The 21,997-nt window shown below is 35.5% G+C and overlaps 1 protein-coding gene across 52 annotated transcripts in view; it reads left to right on the top strand.

Moving 5' to 3' along the window:
- Window positions 1–21,997, top strand: part of DLG2 (discs large MAGUK scaffold protein 2) — a 2,173,362-nt gene that overhangs the window by 1,439,146 nt on the left and 712,219 nt on the right. The gene's annotated exons all lie outside the window — the stretch shown is intronic.

Raw genomic sequence — 21,997 nt, 5'->3', positions numbered from 1 at the left:
CTTTTTATTCATATGTTTGTTGGCTGCATGTATGTCTTGTTGACTTCTGACTTAATTTCGTTATTTACCCAAGATTCTTGAAAGCTGCTTAAGCAGTAAGACGTTAGCATCAACCATCCATCCATTGTCCTAAAATTAGAACTGACCATCTTTGCACCTGCAGTATTCAATATTTCCAGAACCTGGTAGACCAAAACATATTTGAATAGATGAATAAATAAACAAATAAGGAAATTTTATTAGTTAATGGGCTTCATTGCATAGCTTACTACTCTTTGGTGAAACTTTTCTGCTAGTGAAATAGAGAAATCAGTGACACTTCAAAGGGCTTTCAAAAAGAAGGCTCTGGGTGATTATTGAGGGTATACTCAGGCAAGCCTTGCTACAGACTGTCCTCCCTTTTTTTTTAAATAAATAATCACTGAGTCCAGGCTTTTTGCTTAGTGGCTGCTTCTTTAAGGATAATCTGGCAAAAGAATAAGCATGTCTTTGCCAAAGCATTCCCGTTGAAGAAGTGGGAGGAGCAAAAGAGAATATTTAGGGAGAGCTGTGGCTTTGGGTTTGCAATTTTGAAGCCAGTTTTTGTAAGGAATAAGTCTTTATTTTTCACTCCAATATTAGCTCAGTGGGAAGAAATTTTCTTGCAATCTTGGGAAAATTCACTGAAGTTCCCAAAGATTCTGAAAGAGTCTGGAACCAGGAGTTAAAAAACAAGAATGCTTGCTCAACTCCATACATTTATTAGCTGAACTTGGTCAATGTGCTTAACCTCTCTAAGCCTCAGTTTCTTCATATTTAAAGTGGAGATAAAATCATTCTTACTTCATAGTAAGATAATATATGTGAGAGCATCTGGAGATGCAATCATGAAAACTAATGGTTATTACTTAAAAATGTGACTGTAATTGAGAGGTTAAAAATAAATTCCAAATTGTTAGTTTCCTAAAATTCAGATTTTTAGATGGACAAGCATATTGAGTATTCAAATGCTTTTCTTTGCATATATCCCTATATAAACATATACACCTAAAGCGTATAACTATATTTTGAAGTCTAAGTGGCTCCCTCAAGGTTGCTAAAACTAGTAACTGGATCTTGGGTCATAAATGTTATTTTTCATAAGACCACTTTGCATATTTGGATAGAGGCAACTTTATAGGAATCTGCTTTTAAATGGATTTGAATGTTGACTGGAAACCAGCAGCAATAATTGTATCCTATTTGATTTTGGGAAAAGCTGAAGGCTGTGGGCATTCTGCAAAGATTTCAGGCAGTAGTGGTTACATTTTAGAGTCTTTCTACAGCTCTCTCCAAAAGAATATATGCCACGTTGCCAAGGTAATTTCCCTTATGCTGAGCACTTCCTATTTTTTAGTCCTATGTTTAAAGCAGTCAGATAAATTAGCCAGGGAATATTCCTGTTCTATTGATTAATGGTTTTACATAGCCTGAAGGTCTTTACCACTAACTCTCATCCAGATACCCATCATTACCTTTAACAGACAAGAGGTGTAAAGCAGTCTTTATTTTTTTTATCCTAAAATCCTGTTCATATGAGCAGATTTTGCTGATGACAATACCAGGAATACTTAGCAACATTGAGATAAAATTTTTCTTGGAGGTAGACATAAGAAGAAATGGGTTCTTGTGTGTAAAATGAATTTTCTCTCTTGGTTTTAAGATGACCAAATTTCAAAACAGCAATTGGGTGAAACAGTCCTTGGTAAGGTTTGATTTCTAACTCAGAAAAGGGGGATGCTTCTTTTATTCTTTGTGATGACAAGGGAGAAAATCCACACAAGTACACTACCTCTGAATCTTTATAAGCCCTTTGATTTCAAAGAAAATTGACAAACCACCTTCAAGAGCCTTTACAACTAAATATATACTCTTGAAGTAGAAACCACATTTTATTTACCTTCTTTTGTAAGTCTAGATATCTGGAAAAGTATCATGACATTAATGAATATAATAAAGATATACCAGCTCTGTTATTACCAATTTTTAGTAAGAAATAATGCTATCACCTTCTCACTTTATTTCAGCTGGAAATGTCTACATCTCAATTTTAATTTCTATTTATATATAATACTTTACTTATATATTTATATAAAGATATAATATTTAATTTATTTTATACTTAAAAATTATGCCTGGGAATTTTGGCAAACTCATTAAACATCAGTGTGAAGTGTACTTTATTAACGCCCTTAACACTTACCATACTTCTTTCTGGTTGTGAGATTAAAAGCCAGTTGAGATGGACAACTGAGGGGTGCATACATATTTTCAGAAGGACATTTTTAGTAATTATATTTACAGCTTTGCTACCAGCAGGTAATTTTTAGCTACCATTCACTTACCTAAGCTTATTTATTTCTGGTTCAAAAATAATTTTCCAGCCTTAATACAATGTTTAACATACTACTAGTAGTTTATTGAAGCTGATAATTTTGGCAAATTGATTATATAAATATACTGTTCAAAAAATCCATTCTCATTCATTCTGATTATATTTGCAGCCTGTAACTCGAACTGGCAATCTAGATAGGAGGAGTGTTCAGAGACGGATCATATACTAACTTATCTAATATTCGTAGAACTCTGTGGGGTATTAGAGGTGGTTCATAATGCCCCTAGGATTTTGCCCAGCCTGAAAGATCTAGGTCTGACAAACTTCAATCTAACAAATATTTATAGAATACCTATTATATAGTATTACTATTAATAATAATTATTTTCTCTCTCTGTTGAATTGGTATTATAAATGTACTTTGTCTTTGGGAAGACTCTTTTTGTCCTAAATTCTAAGTTGTCTAATATCAGTATAGCCGCTCCAGCTCTCTTAGGTTTATATTTGCATTCATTTTTAAAGAAAAATGAATAGATTTTCAGAAACCTGTGGGACAACATTATGCATACTAATATATGTATAGTGGAAGTACAGAGAAATAACAAAGGAAATGGGTAGAAAAATTATTTGAAAATATAAAGGACCCAAATTTCCAAAACCTGATGAAAAACATTCATTTACACATTTGAAAAGCTCAACAAATTTTAAGCAGGATAAACACAAAGTGACCCACAGCTACAAATGTAGTATTCAAATGCTGAAAAGCGAAAGGCAAAGATAAAATCTTAGAAATAGCAAGAGGAAGTCAACTTGTCATATAGAAGGTAACTACATAAGTTTAACATCTGACTTCTAATTAGAAACAATCATGGCCACAGGCAATTGGAATAACATATCTAAAATGCTAAAAGAAAAGAACTGATAACGAAGAGTTTTGGATCCAGAAAAACAATCCTTTAAAATTAAAAGGGAAACAAAGACAATCCCAAATAAACAAAAGACTGAATTTGTTTTTAGCAGTCTTGCCTTAGAAACATTTCCATTGATAATCTAAATAGATGCAGGAAAGGCCTTTGACAAAATTCAACAACCCTTCATGCTAAAAACTCTCAATAAATTAGGTATTGATGGGACATACCTCAAAATAATAAGAGATATCTATGACAAACCCACAGCCAATATCATACTGAATGGGCAAAAACTGGAAGCATTCCCTTCGAAAACTGGCACAAGACAGGGATGCCCTCTCTCACCACTCCTATTCAACATAGTGTTGGAAGTTCTGGCCAGGGCAATCAGGCAGGAGAAGGAAATAAAGGGTATTCAATTAGGAAAAGAGGAAGTCAAATCGTCCCTGTTTGCAGATGACACGATTGTATATCTAGAAAACCCCGTCGTCTCAGCCCAAAATCTCCTTAAGCTGATAAGCAACTTCAGCAAAGTCTCAGGATACAAAATCAATGTACAAAAATCACAAGCATTCTTATACACAAATAACAGACAAACAGAGAGCCAAATCATGAGTGAACTCCCATTCACAATTGCTTCAAAGAGAATAAAATACCTAGGAATCCAACTTACAAGGGACATGAAGGACCTCTTCAAGGAGAACTACATATCACTGCTCAATGAAATAAAAGAGGATACAAACAAATAGAAGGACATTCCATGCTCGTGGATAGGAGGAATCAATATCATGAAAATGGCCATACTGCCCAGGGTAATTTATAGATTCAATGCCATCCCCATCAAGCTACCAATGACTTTCTTCACAGAATTGGAAAAAACTGCTTTAAAGTTCATATGGAACCAAAAAAGAGCCTGCATTGCCAAGTCAATCCTAAACCAAAAGAACAAAGCCAGAGGCATCACGCTACCTGATTTCAAACTACACTACAAGGCTACAGTAACCAAAACAGCATGGTACTGGTACCAAAACAGAGATATAGACGAATGGAACAGAACAGAGCCCTCAGAAATAATGTCGCATATCTACAACCATCTGATCTTTGACAAACCTGAGAAAAACAAGCAATGGGGAAAGGATTCCCTATTTAATAAATGGTGCTGGGAAAACTGGCTAGCCATATGTAGAAAGCTGAAACTGGATCCCTTCCTTACACCTTATACAAAAATCAATTCAAGATGGATTAAAGACTTAAACGTTAGACCTAAAACCATAAAAACCCTAGAAGAAAACCTAGGCAATACCATTCAGGACATAGGCATGGGCAAGGACTTCCTGTCTAAAACACCAAAAGCAATGGCAACAAAAGCCAGAATTGACAAATGGGATCTAATTAAACTAAAGAGCTTCTGCACAGCAAAAGAAACTACCATCAGAGTGAACAGGCAACCTACAGAATGGGAGAAAATTTTTGCAATCTACTCATCTGACAAAGGGCTAATATCCAGAATCTACAATGAACTCAAACAAATTTACAAGAAAAAAAAACTCATCAAAAAGTGGGCGAAGGATATGAACAGACACTTCTCAAAAGAAGACATTTATGCAGCCAAAAGACACATGAAAAAATGCTCATCATCACTGGCCATCAGAGAAATGCAAATCAAAACCACAATGAGATACCATCTCACACCAGTTAGAATGGCAATCATTAAAAAGTCAGGAAACAACAGGTGCTGGAGAGGACGTGGAGAAATAGGAGCACTTTTACACTGTTGGTGGGACTGTAAACTAGTTCAACCCTTGTGGAAGTCAGTGTGGCGATTCCTCAGGGATCTAGAACTAAAAATACCATTTGACCCAGCCATCCCATTACTGGGTATATACCCAAAGGATTATAAAACATGCTGCTATAAAGACACGTGCACACGTATGTTTATTGCGGCATTATTCACAATAGCAAAGACTTGGAACCAACCCAAATGTCCAACAATGATAGACTGGATTAAGAAAATGTGGCACATATACACCATGGAATACTATGCAGCCATAAAAAAGGATGAGTTCATGTCCTGTGTAGGGACATGGATGAAGCTGGAAACCGTCATTCTCAGCAAACTATCACAAGGACAAAAAACCAAGCACCACATGTTCTCATTCATAGGTGGGAATTGAACAATGAGAACACATGGACACAGGAAGGGGAACATCACACACCGGGGCCTGTTGTGGGGTGAGGGGAGTGGGGAGGGATAGCATTAGGAGATATACCTGATGTAAATGAGGAGTTACTGGGTGCAGCACACCAACATGGCACATGTATACATATGTAACTAACCTGCACATTGTGCACATGTACCCTAAAACTTAAAGTATAATTTAAAAAAAAGAAACATTTCTATTGATATATTTCCAAGTTTACTTATGTTTTTTCTTGTCAACTCAAATCTACTGTTGAGCTGCTCTAGTGAATTTTTTTAATTAATAACTTTTTTAAGAGCAGTTTTAGGTTCATAGCATAACTAAATGGAAAGTACAAAGGGTTCCCATACACCTCCTCCCCACCTAACACACACACAGGCCTTGCTCACACGGGCATTGACATCCACAACTGAGTGGTAAATTTGTTACAACTGATGAACTTACAGTGACACATCATTATCACTCAAAGTCCATAGTTAACAGTATAGTTCACTTTTGTTCTTGAACATTTTATGAGTTAGAAAGTATTTATGAGTTAGAAAGTATTTTTTGTGCTTCTCTTTTCTGGAAGTGATTGTAGATAATTGGTGTAATTTATTCATGAAATGATTGTTAGGATTCACCTTTGAACCCATCTGGGCCTGGTTCTTTCTGTTTGGGAAGGTTATTAATTATTGATTCAATTTCTTCAATAGATATAAGCCTATTCACATGGTCTGTTTTATCTTCTTTGAGTTGTGGTACATGGTGTCTTTCAAGAAAACAGTTCATTTCACCTTGGTTATAAAATTTGCCAGCATAAAGTTATTCAGTATATTCTCTTATTATCCTTTTAATGACCATGGAATCTGTGGTGATGTTTTGTGTTTCTTTTCTAATATTAGCAATTTTGTCATTTTTTTTCTTAATTAGCCTAGCTAGAGGCTTATCAATTTTACTGATCTTTTCAAAAAATAGCCAATATTTTGTTGATTTTCTATACTGATTTTCTGTTTTCAATTTTCTTGATCTTCTCTAACTTTTACTTCTTTTCTTCTGCTTACTTTGGATTTAATTTGCCCTTCCTTTTCTAGTTTTCTAAAGTAGAAGCTTAGATTATTGATTTTAGATGTTTCTTCATTTATATACATTCATTCGATGCTATGAATTTCCCTCTAAACACTGCTTTTACTGAAGCTTATTAATTTTAATACATTCTATTTGCTATTCTTTTTCTTTTTCTTTTTTTTTCTTTTTTGAGACAGGGTCTCACTTTGTTGCCCAGGCTTGAGTGCAGTAGCATGATCAGGGCTCACTGTAGCCTCAACCTCCTGGGCACGTGATCCTCCTGCGTCAGCCTTTCAAGTAGCTGGGACCACAGGCACAAGCCACCATGACTGCCTAATTTTTTTTTTTTTTAGGAGTTGGGGTCTCCCTATGTTGCCCAGGCTGGATAAAACATCATGTATTCAATTTCATTTAGTTCAAAATACTTTCCAATTTCTCTTCAGATTTCTTCTTTTACCCATGTGTTTAATCTCCAGGTACTTCATAATTTTCCAGCTGTCTTTCCATTATTGATTTCTAGTCTAATTATATTGTGGTGTTAAGAACAGACATTGTATCTATTCTTTTGAACTTGTTAAGATTTGTTTTATGGCTTAGAATTTGGTCTATCCTGATGACTGTTTCATGTAAGTTTGAGAAGAATGTGTAATCTGCTGTCATTGAATGAAGTAGTCTATGGATGTGCTTGATATCAGTTGTGTGATGGTTCCATGGAGTTCAAATATATCCTTACTGATTTTGTGCCTGCTAGGCCCATCCATTTTTGATAGAGGGGCGTTCAAGTCTCCAACTATAATAGTGGATTCATTTATTTCTTGCTATTCTATGGGTTTTTACCCCCATGTATTTTGGCACTCTGTTGTTCAGCCCATACATATTAAGGGTTGTTACATCTTCTCCCAGTATTGACTACTTTATTATTATGTAATGCCTCTATTTATCTCTGATAATTTATCTTGCGTTGATATCTGCTCCACCTGGAATTAATATAGCTACTCCCACTTTCTTTTGATTAGTGTTATTATGATATATTTTTCTCCATTCATTTACTTTTTATGTATAGTTCTCCTTACATTTAAGGTGTTTTTCTTGTAGACAACATACAGTCATGTCTTGCTTTTTAATCTAATGTACTTTGAAAATCTTGGCTCTTGAATTGATGTATTTATACCATTGATATTTAAAGTGATTATTGATGTATTTACTACTTGGATTAATATCTGCCATATCTGTTACCATTTTCTAATTACTGTTCTAATTACTGTTCTTGTTCTTTCATCCTATTTTTGTCTTCCACACTTTTTCTGCCTTTTTTCGTTTTAAATGGCATTTTATATTATTTATTTTCTTTATTAATATATCAATTATACTTCTTCTTTTACTTTTTCAATGGTTGCCATAGAATTTGCACTACACATTTACAACCAATCCAAGTTCACTTTCAAATAACACTCCACCACTTCACAAATAGTACAAGTGTCTTATAACAAAATATTCCCCATTCTGCCATAGTTTCTTGTATTATTCATTTCACTTATATATAATCATACATGATTATAAGTGACATGCATATATATGATTATATATAAGTGATCATACATATGTGTGTATATATAAGCACATATATAATCATATGCATTATTCCTATTATTATTTTGAACAAACTGTTATCTGTTAGATTAAGAAAAATAAAACTTTTATTTTGTTTTATTTTCATATATTCTTTCTCCAGAGCTCTTTCTTTCTTTATGTAGATCAATGTTTCTGACCTTTATGATTTTTCTTCTCTCCGAAGTACTTACTGCAATATTTCTCTCAAGATAGGTCTACTGACAGAAACATTTCCTTAATTTTTGTTTGTCTGAGGAAGTCTTTTCTTTTTCATTCTTGAAGGATAATTTTATAAATTTTTACTTTGGTCTTTTTCTCCCCACACTTTCAATATTTCACTTCACTCTCTTCCAGTTTGCATGGTTTCTGGGGGGGTTCAGATATAATTTTTATCTTTGCTCCTCCGTAGATATGGCTCCCACCTGCCCCCACTAGCTTCTTTCAAGACTTTAAAAAAATCCTTGATTTTCTGAAGTTTGAATATGGTATGCCTAGATGCCAGTTATTGGGAGTAGGAGGATTTTTTGTTTGCTTGTGTGTTTGTTTGCTTTGTCATTTATTCTGCTTGGTGTTCTCTGAGGTTCCTGGATCTGTGATTTGTTGTCTGACATTAATTTGGGTGAAATTTTCAGTCATTATTGCCTCAAATATTGCTTCTGTTTCTTTCTCTGTTTTGTCTCCTTCTGGAATTTCTGTTATGCTTATGTTACACCTTTGTAGATGTCTCACATTTCTTAAATGTTCTCTATTGGTTATTTTGTTCTGTGTCTTGTCTTTTTTTCTCTGTTTTTCAATTTGGAAGTTTCTATTATTGTATCCTCAAACTAAGGGATTCTTTTCTCAGCCACGTAAGAATCAAAAGTATTCTTCATTTCTTTACTATATTACCTCCAGCATTCCATTTTTATTCCTTCCTAGAATGTATCTCTCTACTTACATTATTCGTCTGTCCTTGCCTAGTTGTCTAGTTTTTTCATTAAAGCCTTTAGTATACTAATCATAATTCAAACATTTCTGCCGTATTTGACTCTGGTTCTGATGCTTGTTGAGTCTCCTCATACTGTATTCTTTTAATTTTTAGTATGCCTGGTCATTTTTTATTTAAAATGACATAATGAACTGAATAAAAGGAGCTGTTTTGAATAGATCTTTGGTAATGTAGTGGCAAGGTATTGGGGAGGAAAGCATGCTTTATTCCTGTGATTAGGTTTCAGTATTTTGGTGAGTTTGTCTATCTGGATTCTAAATTTCACCAGTGCTTCTCTGTTGTCCCCCTTATCCCCAATTTTAGGTGAGACAGGATGGCTAGAGGGTCTGGACTTGGGTATTTCCCTTTCCCCAGTTATGTTAGGCCCTGGTAAAACCCCGACAGGTTAGGCTCTGGTAAAATAATTTCTCCTGAGAGAAGCCCTTATTAAGAAGCACTGAATGCTCTAACCTACTTCAGAATGATTCCTTTTCCTCTTCCCTGCCAGAGCACTAGTAGATTTTCTTCTAATATTCAATACGAAGGCCTCGTAGAGCTTTAGGCAGTAAAACTCACAAAAGCGTGGCGGCCCTGTGACTGTTCCCTCTGGAGTTCATGACTGTCAGAGTTTTTCACATTGAGCATCTAACAATTCATCAGTTATAGTTCAGGTTTTTCTACCCTGGCACTGGTTCCCAAAGAGGTATCTGCCCATTGGTTTTTGCTCTGATAATTGGTGATTCTTTGTGTCTACCTATCTGACTGATTTTGGGGACAGTGATTTGCCTTGTAACTTAACTTCTCTGATGGATCTAACAATAGTTGTTGATTTTTCAGTTTGTTTAGCTTTTTATTTGTTGTTAGAACAGAATGGCAACTTCTAAGCTATTTATGTAGTAGGCCATCAGCCCCAAACTCTAGCAAATTTATTATTTCAGTTTTTGACTCCAAAATTTTCATGAGATTTTGATTTATAATTTCTATTTCTCTGTTAATATTTTCAATTTGATGTGTCATTGTTGTCATACTTTAATTTTTTTAAATGGCTCTTTTAGTTCTTTGCACATATTTATGGCTGCTTTGATGTTTTTGTTAGCTAATTCCAACATCTGGAATGCCTGAGAAATAGCTTCTATTTATTGCTTACTTTCTTATGTATGGATCATCATACTTTCCTTTTTTGCGTGTCTCCTATATTTTTTTGAAAACTCTACATATAAGATAAAAGCAATTAGAGATTCTGATTTGCCCTCTTCTCTCTTACCAGCTCCAGATTTTGAGGGTTTTTAAATGTTGGTTTAAAAACTAACATTTAGTCACATGCTAGATCTGTAGTCTGTTTCCCCTGCAGTATATAGCTACTGATGTCTCTGATGAGTCTGTCTTGTTTTTTTTTTCTTTTTTGTTGTTGTTGTTTTTGAAGCCTGGCATCATAGCAGTGCCTTTAGATCAACGTAGCCAGATGGTGAGCCAGTGATTGGTGAGAGGTTATGCTGAAACACCTTGAGCCAGTAAGCCTTCCATCCTTCACCAATGGATTTGTGAGTGGGCCAGGGAATGTGTTTACATTCAAGCAGCCTACAACTTGGCCTGAGATTTTATTTTCGAATAGGCCTTCCTTTTCCTATCTCCTGTGCATGTGTGCAAGGTCTCACATTCAGGCAGGGATATGTTGATTGCTAGGACCTTCTGTAGTCTCTTGAGGATACTCACGACCTTTCATATGCACTCAAACTTCCAGTCTTCCATGGAAATATAGGAGCTCTCAAAGCCTGACATAACTCTCTAAGTACCCAAATTGTTCTGTTAAATTTCTGGCTACTGTAGACAGCATGTTGACTGCACCAGCCAGTATTGCAACCTTAGACTACTTCCATTTTTGCTTTCCCTGAAGTTTGCCACTGAAATCACTATTGTTTTCAAAAACTATGCATGGGATTTTCCCACATTCTGCTCCAAATGAAGTTGGCCCCCTCTGGCAGTAAAGCTGCTGGTTTTCATAGCATTTTCTGCTGGTAGAACTACTGTACCCACAGAATTTTGTGGGGTGGGAAGAGATGGGGCAATGTGCAGCCCCAGACTGGAATAACACAGGCTCTCACAGTTGTTAACTAACATTCAGCAGTTTTTTTTTTTAATCAATCATTTTTAACTTGCTATATGTCTTTAGTCAGTTTTCAAAGTCCAGAAATGGCTATTGTTGGCAATTTCTGCCCAGTTTTAAAGTTGTTCTTTGGGGACAGGATTTGCTGAGCTCCCTATTCCACCAGTCTGTAATAATAATGAACAGTATAATAATAACATTTATCATGTGCCAGACTACTGTTCCAAGTATTTTACTAATTTATTTAAATTAATTTACACTAATTTACTAGTTCATTTATCCTTCACAATCCTATGATATTCATTTTGACCCCACTTACAGATCAGAAAACTGAGGCAGATATCTGACAGCTATTAACTGGCAGAGTCAAACTTAGGAAATGTCTCTAGATTATGAGCAGTTGAGAACTGTACTTTACTTCCTACTTCATTTATAATCCCTAACAACCTTATTGAAGTAAGTATAAGTAGTATCGTAATTTATTGAGGAGGAACTCAGGCTATTTAACTTTTCTAAAGTCACAAAAATTATTAAGAGGCCAATTTAGGATTAGCCTACATGTCTGACTGAATCCAAAGCCTGAGCTGATACTTAACACAGCCTGATAATATAATCAGAGCAAAAAGAATCTACAGAAGTAGTCTGTAAACACAGAGAAACAGCATTAGCAGAGCCTGGCCTGTGTATATATGTGCATGCATATGTGTGTATTAGAGTGCGTAGGAGGGCTAGAGAAAGAAAGGCAGGGTTTGTGATGATATTAGATGGAAGGAGAGGAGAATCATGGAAGATGTTTTTAAAGGCTAAGTAGGAGTTATACAGGGAAAACTTGGCAAGCAAGACCATCCTAAGCAGAGGATGATTAAGAAAACAAAGAGTATAATGAAAACATGATTTGAATTTTCTTCCATCTCTTCTCCCTGCCCTACCAACTGCTTTCAATCCTTGGTGCTTTTTGCTGTAAGTTTGTTGTCTGATTAACATTTGTTTACTATATTAAAGGAGTATCTGTAGTTTAATTAATAGAATGCAAGTGAAAATTTTTCTGGTACCCTTTTGAGTCTTCCTATTCCAAGAAGATATGAAAAGAAAGAAAATAAAAGAAAAGAAAAGAAAAGGAAAGGAAGGGAATGGAAAGGAAAGGAAAGAAAAGAAAAGAAAAGAGAGAGAGCAAGCAAGCAAGCAGCAGTGAGCTATGCTTGAGCATGAACTGTTAGAAACTTATCCTATCAGCGTCCCAGTTGACCCTGTGACAGAATACTTAAAGGTCAACAAAGAAAAGTGTCCAGAGAGAGAGAAATTCTGTCTCTGAGACTTCTAGAGATAGAATTGGTGCATAAAATTCAGAGTCCAGAACGCCTTAATCCGACTAGCTATCACAACTTGAGTATGCATGACCCCTTTCAAACTCCTGGATCAAGTCTGAGAAACACTAATAGATATGTAGAAACTTCTACATTTTTCTTTGAAAAATATATTGCTTATACTTTTTTGTCACTTTAGACTTCTAAGTTAATTGAATCTAACAGAGAAAAAACAGGGTAAGTCAGGTCTTCTGTATGAATATTGAACACAACTGCCCCGTGCATATACGTATGTGAATATATGTATATATACATATATATACACCAAGCAGTAAAGCTTATATGTTATATATGAAATATGCTTATATATAATTATATGTAATTATATATATGCAAATATATATATATATATATAAGCTTTACTGCTTAGCATATAGTAAATCTTCAGCAATATTAACTACAATTATTTAAAAGGTTTTTTCCAGGTCTGCTATTGGCTTATTTAATTTCTACCTCTTCACCTTTCTTAAAAGAGACCAGTGTGGCATGTATGTACATGTCTGCTAGGGGGAGGGGGATGGTAAGTGAACCATCAGGTAACCATCAGGAAACTGATGGTTATTGCTTGCAGGAAATTTTTTAAAACATCACTATATATACGATTGTTATAAGAATCCAATGCAATAATGTATGTGAAAATAGTATGAAAATTAATAATACTGTTGTTACCATAATCTAAAAATGTTAGATATAAACAACTTTAAACCTTACAATTTCTATGTTATCACCTGGGCCAGACATTCGGTAGGGGACAAAACCTATTAATAAGCAGTCCTTGTCATGGTCCTAAAGTACTTTGAAAAAGGTGAAATAAAATAAAGCAGCAGAATGCTTTCCCTTAGTATCTGATCTGGAAATACTGGTATGACCTTTATTGTAACAAGCAGCCCGAAGCATTTTTCCAAAATCACAGAACTTCAGATGAAGGAGCAGGGTGATGTGGCTCTATAGCTCTTTTCCCAAGGTTGTGAAGATAGTGATGTGCTTTTTAAATGGGATGAAAAGAGATTATATGAGATAGCGAAGAAGGTGGGGGTAGTCACTCAATAAATATTTGTTGATTGATGAATTGATCTTGAAAACTGCTGAAAGGGTGACCTATATTTAGATGAAAAGGGATGCAGCTCATTGTTAGCAAGATTTGAAGTAAAATGATTAGAGAGAAATTAAGGCAGTTCACGCCTTTGGAAACTGACAGTGGTAAGATTTTTGAATAAAAGGGATTTTAAAGATATACAGCAAATAAAAAGCCTTTAGCATAAGAGTCAATCCATTTATTTCTTTAATAACAATTTATAATGCGGCTACTAGGGGCAAACATAAGTTCAGTTATAATAGGTGCCATAAAAGAAACACAAATTTAAAAGATAGTTCCCCATCCGAGCAAGAGGACAGTATGTCAGGGAAGAGAAATCACAATGTGAGGAGCTGGCAAGAGGAAGACCACAAGTATAGTAAGAGAGGTGCTCTGCTATGTATGACCAGAAAGAAAAATTATTGTTTTAATGTCAGATACTGGATTCAAACACTAGATATTTCCATTTCTTTCTCCATCCCTATAGGCACTCATTTGCTAATTTTGTTCAACAAATTTATATTGAGCACATACTTTCCATCAGTAAGTAAGGATGAGGATGAACAAGATTCTCCTGGTTTCACATTGCTTATGAAAGCATAACCTTGAAAAAATTGTTTAACTTAGAAACTAGCTTCTTTGATAGTAAAATCAACATTAAAATGCTAAGCTCTCAAAATTGTTACAATTATTAGATGAACTTAAGATAGTGTCTGGCATGTACTACATATTTAACAAAATCCAGTAGTAGCAATAGTAGCTGCAGTAGTAGTAATCATTTTTATTGTTATTAGCATTTTTTCTGGAGATAACAGGGTTATGATTTCCAGGGTATCGATAAGAAAAATATTTTTGATTCGATGGACAAGACAGTCTTTAGTTGGTAAAAATGGGAGATTCCCACACCACCAATAGAATGCAGCTCCATAAAGGCAGAGGCCTTTTTTTGTTTACCACTATAGCCCTAGGACCTAACCTAATACATGGGAAATTTTAGGCATTCAAAATATTTTTCTACATTAATTAGAATTTTAATAAACATAAATTGCATTAAGGCATTTAAGGCAGCGTATGTGGCATTAGTAAAGATACCAAAAGGAGGAGGTGTTCAGCTCAATTACTTGGCTAGAAAACGTTTTTGAAGATGAGAAACAGGGTATTTAGCTAGAAAGGTAGGTTGGGGACAGCTGGTGGATGGTATGAAATGTTCTCTGGGGATTAAAAAATTATTGAAGCTACTTGAGCAGTAAAATTCCTTGATGAAACATTTTAGGAAAATAAACCTCAAAGGATATGAAGAATAGATTGATGTTGAAAATCAATAGGGGAAGAAGTATTTTTAGGAAGTTATACCAATGTTCTTAAGAAAGTGATAATTTGAACATGAAATAGGATGGCGGGAATTGATAACAAATGTAAAGGATGTATATGACAAAAAAAAAATCTCCTTAACAGAGATATAGAGTGGTAGACTGCAGGAAATTATGGTTACAATTAGGCAAGAGCATCTGTTCTGTTTTAGATGTATTGAGACCAGGGCAGTACTTAAGTGTTTACTCAGAAAAAAAAAAAAAAAAAAAAAAGGCCGGGGGGTGAAGTCAAAACTCAGGTAGATTATAAAAGCAACAAAGGACAGAGCTTGGCAAATGTTCATATCTGGCAGGAGTAAAATAAATGGTCATCACTGCCGTGGACAGAGCAGTAGGGAGGAGACTAGCAAGGATAGACCCTGTGATGGAAGGAAAGGGAAGTTGCGAGTGGTGGGTGGTCACTCTAGTGCCAAATACTGTATGAAAGCCAGGGCAAATGAAGACTGGGAAAGATCATTGTATTTAAATGTGAAAAAGCTTTTGTTGATTATTTTGGGTTCAACTTTTGTATAATAGTGGAACACAAACAAAAGCTGCAGAGGATTGAGGAGAGAGAGGGGATGAAGTAGAGAACATTGATATTTTCCCTCATGCTACAGTCATATTATACTCAAGTAAAAGAAAATATTCTTGACTATCTGGTTAGATCATCATATTCGTAAAGTCTCATCTTTTGGCTTAGCACCCAGTTTTTATTTCCCTAAATATTTTGGCTATGTGCTTTGAGTTCTTGATACTTTTGGACACTTGCTTGCAAATGACCACATGATTTGCATAGATGGGTGGTGAGGTGAGGGAGGAGATTTGTTGGGACAAAAACCTTGTGTATCATGATGCCTTACAACCATTGATCAATTGTGTTCTTAACACCATTTACTGTTCTCAAAGAGCATGTACAAACTCATGAAATATTTAAACCCAAAGAACAAAACAGCCTGCATCAGGCTGGAGCCAAGTGAATGCATTAAAACCACCTGTTATTCTCCATCCTGCACATGGTGCAAAACAAGGGAGCAAAGCTGAGAGAAAATGGACTCCTTCCAAATCAGGCAAATCCAGTTTTGAACATACTAAGTAACTATATTTGTTCCTTTGTTACAAAAGCCTTTAATCAAGACAATTTTGTATATAGAAAATGATTATTTTATGCATATAAGAACCCTAAGCTATTTTTCTTAATTTCTTCTGATGGAAATACTGATAAAAATTATTATAATTTTATAGCTAAAAAGCCGCTAATTACAAAAAAACGTGTGCTTTCTAATTAAAATTTTAAAAACATAGTAGTTATTAAGTCTGTGATTATTTTTCTAGACCCAAAGTTGCGTGTGTTATAAATACTTCATAACAAAGGCAGATAATTTTTTAAAAAAAAAGTTATTTAAGGGCCTTGCACAGTGGCTCACACCTGTAATCCCAGCACTTTGGGAGGCCAAGGCGGTTGGATCACCTGAGGTAGGAGTTCAAGACCAGCCTGGCCAACATGGCAAAACCTCATCTCTACTAAAAATACAAAAATTAGCTGCGCATGGTGGCGGGTGCCTGTAATCACAGCTACTTGGGAGGCTGAGGCAGGAGAATTGGTTGAACTCGGGAGGTGGAGGTTGCAGTGAGCCGAGATTGCACCACTGCACTCCAGCCTGGGCAACAGAGCAAGACTCCACCTCAAATAAATAAATAAATAAATAAATAAATAAATAAATAAATAAGAATGGAAAAAATTATAGTATACTGATTTTTTCTTTATGTGGTAGAAGCTATGATTTAGCATTCGCTGAGCTCGGAAGTTTTTGTAATTAAGATTAGAAATTTTAACTTGAAATTAGAGTTTACTGGTAGAACAAATTCAGGTGAATAATAGGAATAGTGATCTTACCAAACTCAGAATCTTAACTAAGAATATCAGTGATTGTTTTTATAGCTTGTGAGCGTTTATTTAAAGAAAGGAATAATGAACTATGATGAGTTTTTAATAAAACTGCATATTTTAAACCAGTCTTATTATAACTTCATAGTATTCATAAAATAACCAGATGTATACCTTACATTAAAACAGGTTCTAAACAAAGCTTAAGCAGAAAATCTTTTGCTTACTACTAAGTGTTTAAATAAGTAATTTTGACACTTACACAAATGTGTGTAATGCATAACAAAGATGAATTCTAACAGCTTGTAAGTACAGAACTGTTATGGAATCCAGGTCTTTTAGATTCCACAATCTAAACTTTTAATTTCTGTGTGATAATGCGCTGTAACTTGAAAAAAGGGCCTGTTTTTGGTCACTATCTTTAGTGAAGATAGTCTAGGAGAAGGGACATTAGTTAAAGGTGGTGATGGACAATCTAGTTGTATTAATGCAAGCCTCAGGCTTTTGTAATGTGTTTTGTCCTATTTAGAGCTTACATTCTGGTGGAATGACTCACTTTTTCAGCACTCAACTGATTTTCATATATTCAGCAGAGAAAATTTGACCCAGCAATCCCAATACTGGACATCTACCCAAAGGAAAATAAATCATCGTATCAAAAAGATACCTGCACTCATATATTTATTGCAGCTCTATTCACAATAGCAAAGATGTGGAATTAACCTCAGTGTCCATCAGTGGGTGATTGGATAAAGAAAATTTGGTATATGTATACAATGGAATACTATTCAGCCATAAAAAAGAATGAAGTCTTTTGCAGCAGTAAGGATAAAACTGGAGGCCATTATCTTAAGTAAAATAACTCAGAAACAGAGTCAAAATACCACATATTCTCACTTATAAGTAGGAGCTATGTAATGTATGGAATAATAAACATTGGAGACTTTGGAAGGATGAGAAGGTGGGAATGGAATGAGGGATAAGAAATTACCCAATAGATACAGTGTACCTTAGGTGATCCTTACACTAAAAGCCCAGACTTCACCACTAAGCAATATATCCATGTAACAAAACTGCACCTGTACCCCTTAAATTCATACAAATTTTAAAAATATAGCGAAATATGATAAAAAGATGGGAGTAAAGAACATCAGCCTCCTCAAGTTTTTTCTTTTGGTTTGAAGTAGAGCAAAACTTTCTTACGTTTTTTCCTTTTTAGAGAGAAACAGCTACTTACTCTTTCCCTCCAGAAACCTGAGATCTTTGAGGAGTAGAAATGGAAAAAATGCTTATGGTAATGTCCTCGAGTGGAGCCAAGACGGAAAGTGATACCACTATTTAGTTTCCTCCCTGTTGAGGCCTTTTATAGGTTAAAGAGAAGAGATAAGACAGAGATATTCAGAGGTCAGAGAGATATCACCTGGCAAAATTATGGGTTGCCAGTTAGGATCTTTAGAATAAAGAGTAATAGAAAAATCACAGTAACAATTGGTCAGGTGCACTAGATGGGAAGAAAAGCCCTGTTGCTAGGTCAGAGCTGGGAGGGACCTCAGAGGTTATCTATCTGCATGAGAAAATTAAAGCATCATGACAAGCCCAAGGTTACCTAGCATGTTAAATCACAGACTCAGGAGTACAATGCAAGCATCAGACTCTTAAGGTCAGTGCTGTCTCCAGTAGAACATTCTGAAGATGTGGTTAATATTGCTGTCTCTGTTTTGATAGGCCTACACATTCTCATGAACACCTGCCATGAACACACTCAGCTCATCCCATCTCCTCTATGAAAAGTTTTCTGACTCACTGCCGGTGGAATCACCTATTCCTATTGCCTCCTTTATGTCACCTCTGCAGCTGCTGCAGTCTATAGACATCTACCATAGCACTCCTATCGCTTTGTTACATGTTTCCATTCACTTGTCTCTATCTGTTAGACTGAGTTATTTGAGGGCAGGAACCATATTTCACCCAACTTTGTATCTCCAGTGCTTATCATTATACCAAGTACATGATAGGTACTAAGTATTAATGTATTTAATTGATGTTTTAATTTATTCAGTATTTAAGTTGGAAATTATTTTTAAAATTTGCAAAAATTTCCTGAGATGGGAGGATAAATTCAAGCCATATTTCACAGGAAAGGGCAGCTGTTGTTAGGGGCTGCCCATACTTAGGCAAAGATACAGTTTAAACACAACTCAATTTTTGGAGTTCATAGGTGACTTGGGTCTAAAGATTTTTCTGGAGACCTGCTTTGATCAAGGCATGGTGTCAGAAGGTACAAGGGTAAAAAAAAGGTTAATATACAACCTGTGCTCTCATGAACATGAGGATATAGGAAATGCCTTGAGAATAGCCTTAAGAAAGTGAGTGCCAATAGCAGAGCAACATAATGATCAATACTGGGCAAGGGAATATTTTTTTTAAATGAAAAGTGAGTATACACAAGATTGGGAGAAAGTTTAGTTGAGATTTTTTTTTTTTTTTTGAGACCAAGTCTCACTCTGTTGCCCAGGCTGAAGTGCAGCGATGTGAACTCGGCTCACTGTAACCTCTGCCTCCCTGCTTCAAGCGATTCTCATGCCTCAGCCTCCAGAGTAGCTGGGACTACAGGCGTGAGCCATGATGCCCAGCTAGTTTTTGTATTTTTAGTAGAGATGGGGTTTTATCATGTTGGCTATACTGATCATGAACTCCTGACTTCGAGTGATCCACCTGCCTCAGCCTCCCAAAGTGCTGAGATTATAGGGGTGAGCCACCACGCATGGCCAAAATAATATTTTGAGTGAAGGCCACACTTGTTTGAGAACAAAAGCTAAGGTAATTCCTATACACAAGGCAGTGCATCTTAGATTGGTTCAAGAAAAAGATGTTTGAGTTAGGAAAGCCTTTTAGTGGATATATAGAAAAAGACAAGTTTGTTTGCTTAAGTTATGTATTACTGGAGAAATTAGCAAACATTCAGTATTTGATCAGACAAATTTTGTGACCCTTATAGATTTGTATCCAGAACTAATAATAATAGCTATCATTATTGAAGATCTGCTTTGTGCCAGACAGTTAACATGTGTAATATTATTTATTCCTACCAAGAATTTTATGAAGTAGAAACTGAGAAGAAAACTGTTTGGGATTTTAGCTAAAATTTCTTTAATCACTTAAGATGTGTGATAATTCATATAAATTACCTAATGTAATCATTGCAATAACCATACGAGGAAGAACTATTTTTAGTACTATTCTTCACATAAAGAAATTGAGGTTTTAAGAGATTAAGGAACTTACCCAAACTCGCACTCATCAAAAATGTTGGAAAGAAGATTCAAATCTGTCTTTTCTTACTCTGGAAGCCATGTTTTTGCCTACCGAGTATCACACTGTATGTAAGGTCAAGTGTAAAGAGCAGTAATGCATCATGACATATTTACTATAAGAGATACTCCAAAAGAAGGGAAGGATGAATATTGGCAAGGTACTAAAAAAGAGGAATGCAAATGAGTGTGTGTGTTTGTGTGTGTGTGTGTGTGTGTGTGTATGTGTGTGTGTGTGTTGATTTGCTGTGGCATTTGATGGTGGTGTGACCCTGTAATTCAGGGCTTCTGAGAGGAGCCAAGCTCAGAGATGAGGATAAATAAACAAGGAATGGCAAAAGGCATGGGCCCAGTAGGCATGGCATCCCCATTAGCAACCAAGGTCTTCTTTGAGTGCATCAGGTTTAACCCATCCAAAAACTTCATTTGTTGATTCACTGATTTATCTACTTACTCACTCACATAGTCATCATTGCTAGCCACTGTAATATATGCTGCATCTGTGGATGAAGCAAAGTGGCATTGCCCCACCTTACTCTGGAAGTGACAAGAGACCACAAGAACTGGAGGTCCCAATTTGCATGATGATCACATTCCTCCCAAAGTCCAATTGTAGTGCTAGATGCTAAAACAATAATAATCAGAGGTATACCTTGTTAACTATATCATAATTACTTATAATAAGGAGAAGGATTAGAACATCGTCTGTCATATTCTCTACTACTGACTTAATCTATGTAAACGACAAAGAGTAAATAGATCTGCACATACCTTGCATGTGGCAATAGTGGCGCTGCAGCTTTAGTCTACCTCTATATTTTAAATATTAGATATCACTCTTGTATGAGGCCTTAATATATTTGTGTTTCGGTGCCTCTTTAAAGGTTGTGTGTTTCTCTAGAATATGGCTGTATCTTAAAATATTTTCTCAGTATCTGTCACTGTTCTTGACACTTTATGCATGCTTAATAATTGCTCTTTGGGTAGAATTGTGTTTAGTCTAAAAAAGTGAATGCTTTGATATCCTTGTTTCAGCACTTTTATAATATGTGACACAGAGATATATAAAAATTTATTCATCTTGGGCCAGGCGTGGTGGCTCACGCCTGTAATCCCAGCACTTTGGGAGGCCAAGGTGGGTGGATCTCCTGAGGTCAGGAGTTTGAGACCAGCCTTGTCAACATGGTGAAACCTAGTCCTTACTAAATATACAAAATTAGCTTGGCATGGTGGTGCATGCCTGTAATCTCAGCTACTTGGGAGGCTGAGGCAGAAGAATCACTTAAACCTGGTATGCAGAGGTTGCAGTGAGCCAAGATCGCACCACTGTACCCCAGCCTGGTTGACAAGACTGAAACTCCGTCTCGAAAAAAAAAAAATTATTCATTTTGGAGTTTAGTATATCCTTAGCCTTAATGAAGCTACAAAGGTGGCAAAGAACAAGCAAAACATTTCAGAGAAATTATTATTTAAGATTCCAATGAAACAACATTAAAATATGGATAGTTCACATTTGTTATGTATGGAGAACCTCTTTTCAGGAGATAAAAATATATCTCAAAATCAAATTATATCATCATCCAGGCAGGTGATTACTATATCATTGAAGTAGAAAAAAGGCCATAAAATTAACTAAAAGCTGTTGGAGAAAAACAAATATTTAATGCATTCAACATTCATTAAATTAGAGCTTTAAATTAAATACCAAGTTTAAATTTGAGTTGGCTGTGGGTCACTCTCTTTGCTTAACTGCCATATGATTCTAGGAAGGCTACATGCTCAGAACAGCACAGGACAATGTGTGACATCAGTTTGATTT

The sequence above is a fragment of the Homo sapiens genome, chromosome 11 (genome assembly GCF_000001405.40).
Source record: "Homo sapiens chromosome 11, GRCh38.p14 Primary Assembly".
NCBI classification, from domain to species: domain Eukaryota; kingdom Metazoa; phylum Chordata; class Mammalia; order Primates; family Hominidae; genus Homo; species Homo sapiens.
Note: the sequence above shows the minus strand (reverse complement) of the source record. Positions and strands in the feature narration are given on the sequence as shown.